The 2,948-nt window shown below is 36.1% G+C and overlaps 1 protein-coding gene across 5 annotated transcripts in view; it reads left to right on the top strand.

Annotated features, from left to right (window-relative positions):
- FCHSD2 (FCH and double SH3 domains 2) overlaps positions 1-2,948 on the top strand; it is a 305,574-nt gene that overhangs the window by 105,413 nt on the left and 197,213 nt on the right. The window contains exon 2 of one of the 5 annotated variants that reach the window (XM_047427949.1): positions 707-829. The exons of the other annotated variants lie outside the window; for them this stretch is intronic. The gene's annotated coding sequence lies outside the window, so the exon portion shown is untranslated. The remainder of the gene's footprint in view (positions 1-706; positions 830-2,948) is intronic. 5 annotated transcript variants of the gene reach the window in all.

Raw genomic sequence — 2,948 nt, 5'->3', positions numbered from 1 at the left:
GTAGGGAACACTAACTTTGAATTTCAATTAAGCAGAATATGTGTATTACAGAAAATTGTACTCAGTTTTTAAAATTTTATCAATAAAAAGTTTGAGGAAAAAATTATGAGTGAACACAATATTTGTGGAGGAAGACTTCTTGAGGGTTGAAATGTTAGTACCTTGTATATAGTAGAAGTTAGGCTTTGTTACACGGATGAATAAATACACAAATAAAATTACCTATTACTCATTGGACTCAGTAAGATACCCAAAGTAGAACTAAAATTTATAGACTTGATTCTACATTTAATAATGACATTGAAAGTTTTTAATCACAGTAATCATGATTATAATTTATCAGGGACTTGCAGTATGCTAGTCATTGTACTCATCATTAAATTTAGGTTTCATTATTATGCCCATTTTACAGTTGAGGAAACTAAAGCTCAAAGTGACTAATGAAATTATTTTCAGTGTCAATTTATAAATAAATAGTAGAGCTTGGATTTGAACCCACATTTATTTGACTCCAAAGACCGATATAACGTTGTGAAATATTGTACAAAATAGTGATTATGAAGCTTGGGTTTTTTTTTTTTGTCTTTTATTTCCTATACTTCTTTGGTTGTTTCTTACCCTTCACACATTTCAAAATTATTATGTTGGCTCCAATACTTTAATGTTTCTAATTGTATATTTTTCTTCCTTTAAAACCTGCCCACAGGTCAACTCCACTGGGAAGCTTGGAAGTCAAATGACCCATGTTCTAATCCCAGTTTTACTACTGGTTCACTTTGAGCCCTGTCCAAGCCAGTCTACTCTTAGCCTTTAGTTTTTTCAACTAAAAGTAAGAAGTTTGCTTAAATATTTGATCATTCTTGTTTTAACAACATTAATAAAAACTGGGCGAGGAGTGGTGGCTCACGCTTGTAATCCCAGCACTTTGGGAGGCTGAGGTAGGCGGATCACAAGGTCAAGAGATTGAGACCATCTTGGCCAACATGGTGAAACCCTGTCTCTATTAAAAATACAAAAATTAGCTGGGTGTGGTGGTGCACGCCTGTAGTCTCAGCTACTCGGGAGGCTGAGGCAGGAGAATTGCTTGAATCTGGGAGGCAGAGGTTGCAGTGAGCCAAGATCGCGCCACTGTACTCCAGCCTGGTGACAGAGCGAGACTCCATCTCAAATAAATAAATAAATAAATAAATAAATAAATAAATAAATAAAAACTGAACATTTCAGTACTGTTCAGTACTTAAAATAGCATTTGGCATATTGTAGAAAATTCTCAGTAAGTACTTATTGAATAGATGAAGGTATTAAGCACTTAATGTATGCCATACATTGGGCCAAGTGCTTTATAAACACTGACTCATTTGCTTAGCAACAATGAAGTAGGTACTATAACTATCTTTATTTCTGAGATGAGGACATCCAAGATAAAAACAAGTTAATGGCCAGGCGCAGTGGCTCATGCCTGTAATCCCAGCACTTCGGGAGGCCAAAGGTGGGTGGATTGCTTGAGCTTAGGAGTTCGAGAACAGCCGGGCAACATGATGAGACCCCCGTCTCTACAAAAAATACAAGCCAGGAGTAGTGGTGCGTGCCTGTAGTGCCAGCTACTCTCTTGAGCCTGGTGGGTGTGGAGGTTGCAAGTGAGCCAAGATCGCGCCACTGCGCTCCAACCTGGGTGACAGAGCGAGACCTTGTCTTAGTACGTACATACATACATACATACATACATACATACATACATACATACATACATACATAAAAATAAAAACTAAAAACAAGTTAAATAACTTGTCAAGGTCCAGGAGTTAAACCTGAGAATGTGTGTCTGTGCTCTTAACCAGTATACTAGTTGTTCCCAATAGTGGCTGCATATCAGAATCACCTGTGAAGTTTGTTAAACTATCAGTGTCTCAGCCCCACCTCTAGAGTCTGACTCAGCAGGTGACATTTATCCTATAGTACTTTAGCTGCCTGTGGAGTGACCTTTTTAAAGGTACTACTTTGCACCCAGAGGATTTTCAGTTGTGTTGTTGACAGACAGATTGACAGTCTTGGTTCTTTTGACTTTTAGTCCTTCTATAATTTATTTTCTTTTGCTGCTTCGAAGTTCTGGTCAAAATTCACCTGATCCTTAATAAGTAAATTGCAATGCTCTATTTACTTTTACTTTAAAATTTGCAGGTCATTTTGTGCAAATAAGTTTATTGAAGTTGAAAAAAATTGGGAAACTTCAACAATGTAGGCGATGTAGTATCAAGAGTTAAAGCTTACTTTGACTGACTTTTTCTTTACTATGAGTATAAATTTGCTGAGTTCTGAGTATTGTGTTTTATTGATGTGGTTCCTAACTTGAGATGTTTTCACAAGAGTGGAAACTTTGATCTCTATTTCCTTGGTACAGGCTCAGCCTCTGGTACCGAATTTTAACATTAGTAACAGTTTCTGGTGTGTAATCATTTGTGTTTTAGGTTAGACAGCTGGAAATTGCTTCTTTCAGGAAGAGGAACGTTTTTGCATGTTTGTGTGCTACCAAAGTCAAATCAGACAGGCTACATGAGAATTTCTAGCTTCATGTTTTGAAGTAGGTGTGAGCACTTGGTCTTAAAAGGCTTTTAAAAAATTCCACTTTAACGTATCTGTAAATATATTTAAAGAAAAACCTTAAAGGGGAGGGAGAGCATTAGGACAAATACCTAATGCATGTAGGGCTTAAAACCTAGATGATGGGTGGATGGGTGCAGCAAACCACCACGGCACATGTATACATATGTAACAAACCTCCACATTCTGCACATGTATCCCAGAACTTAAAGTATAATAAAAATAATTTTTTAAAAAAGAAAAACTTTAGAAAGAAAAAAGCAACTCTTAAAAAAAGATGATATATTTGCTATCGGTATTAAAATTGTCTATTATATTTTCATGATTTCTATTCGTAATAACATGATAAA

The sequence above is a fragment of the Homo sapiens genome, chromosome 11, assembly GCF_000001405.40.
Source record: "Homo sapiens chromosome 11, GRCh38.p14 Primary Assembly".
Taxonomy (NCBI): Eukaryota; Metazoa; Chordata; class Mammalia; order Primates; family Hominidae; genus Homo; species Homo sapiens.
This window is presented reverse-complemented; position numbering and strand designations above follow the sequence as displayed.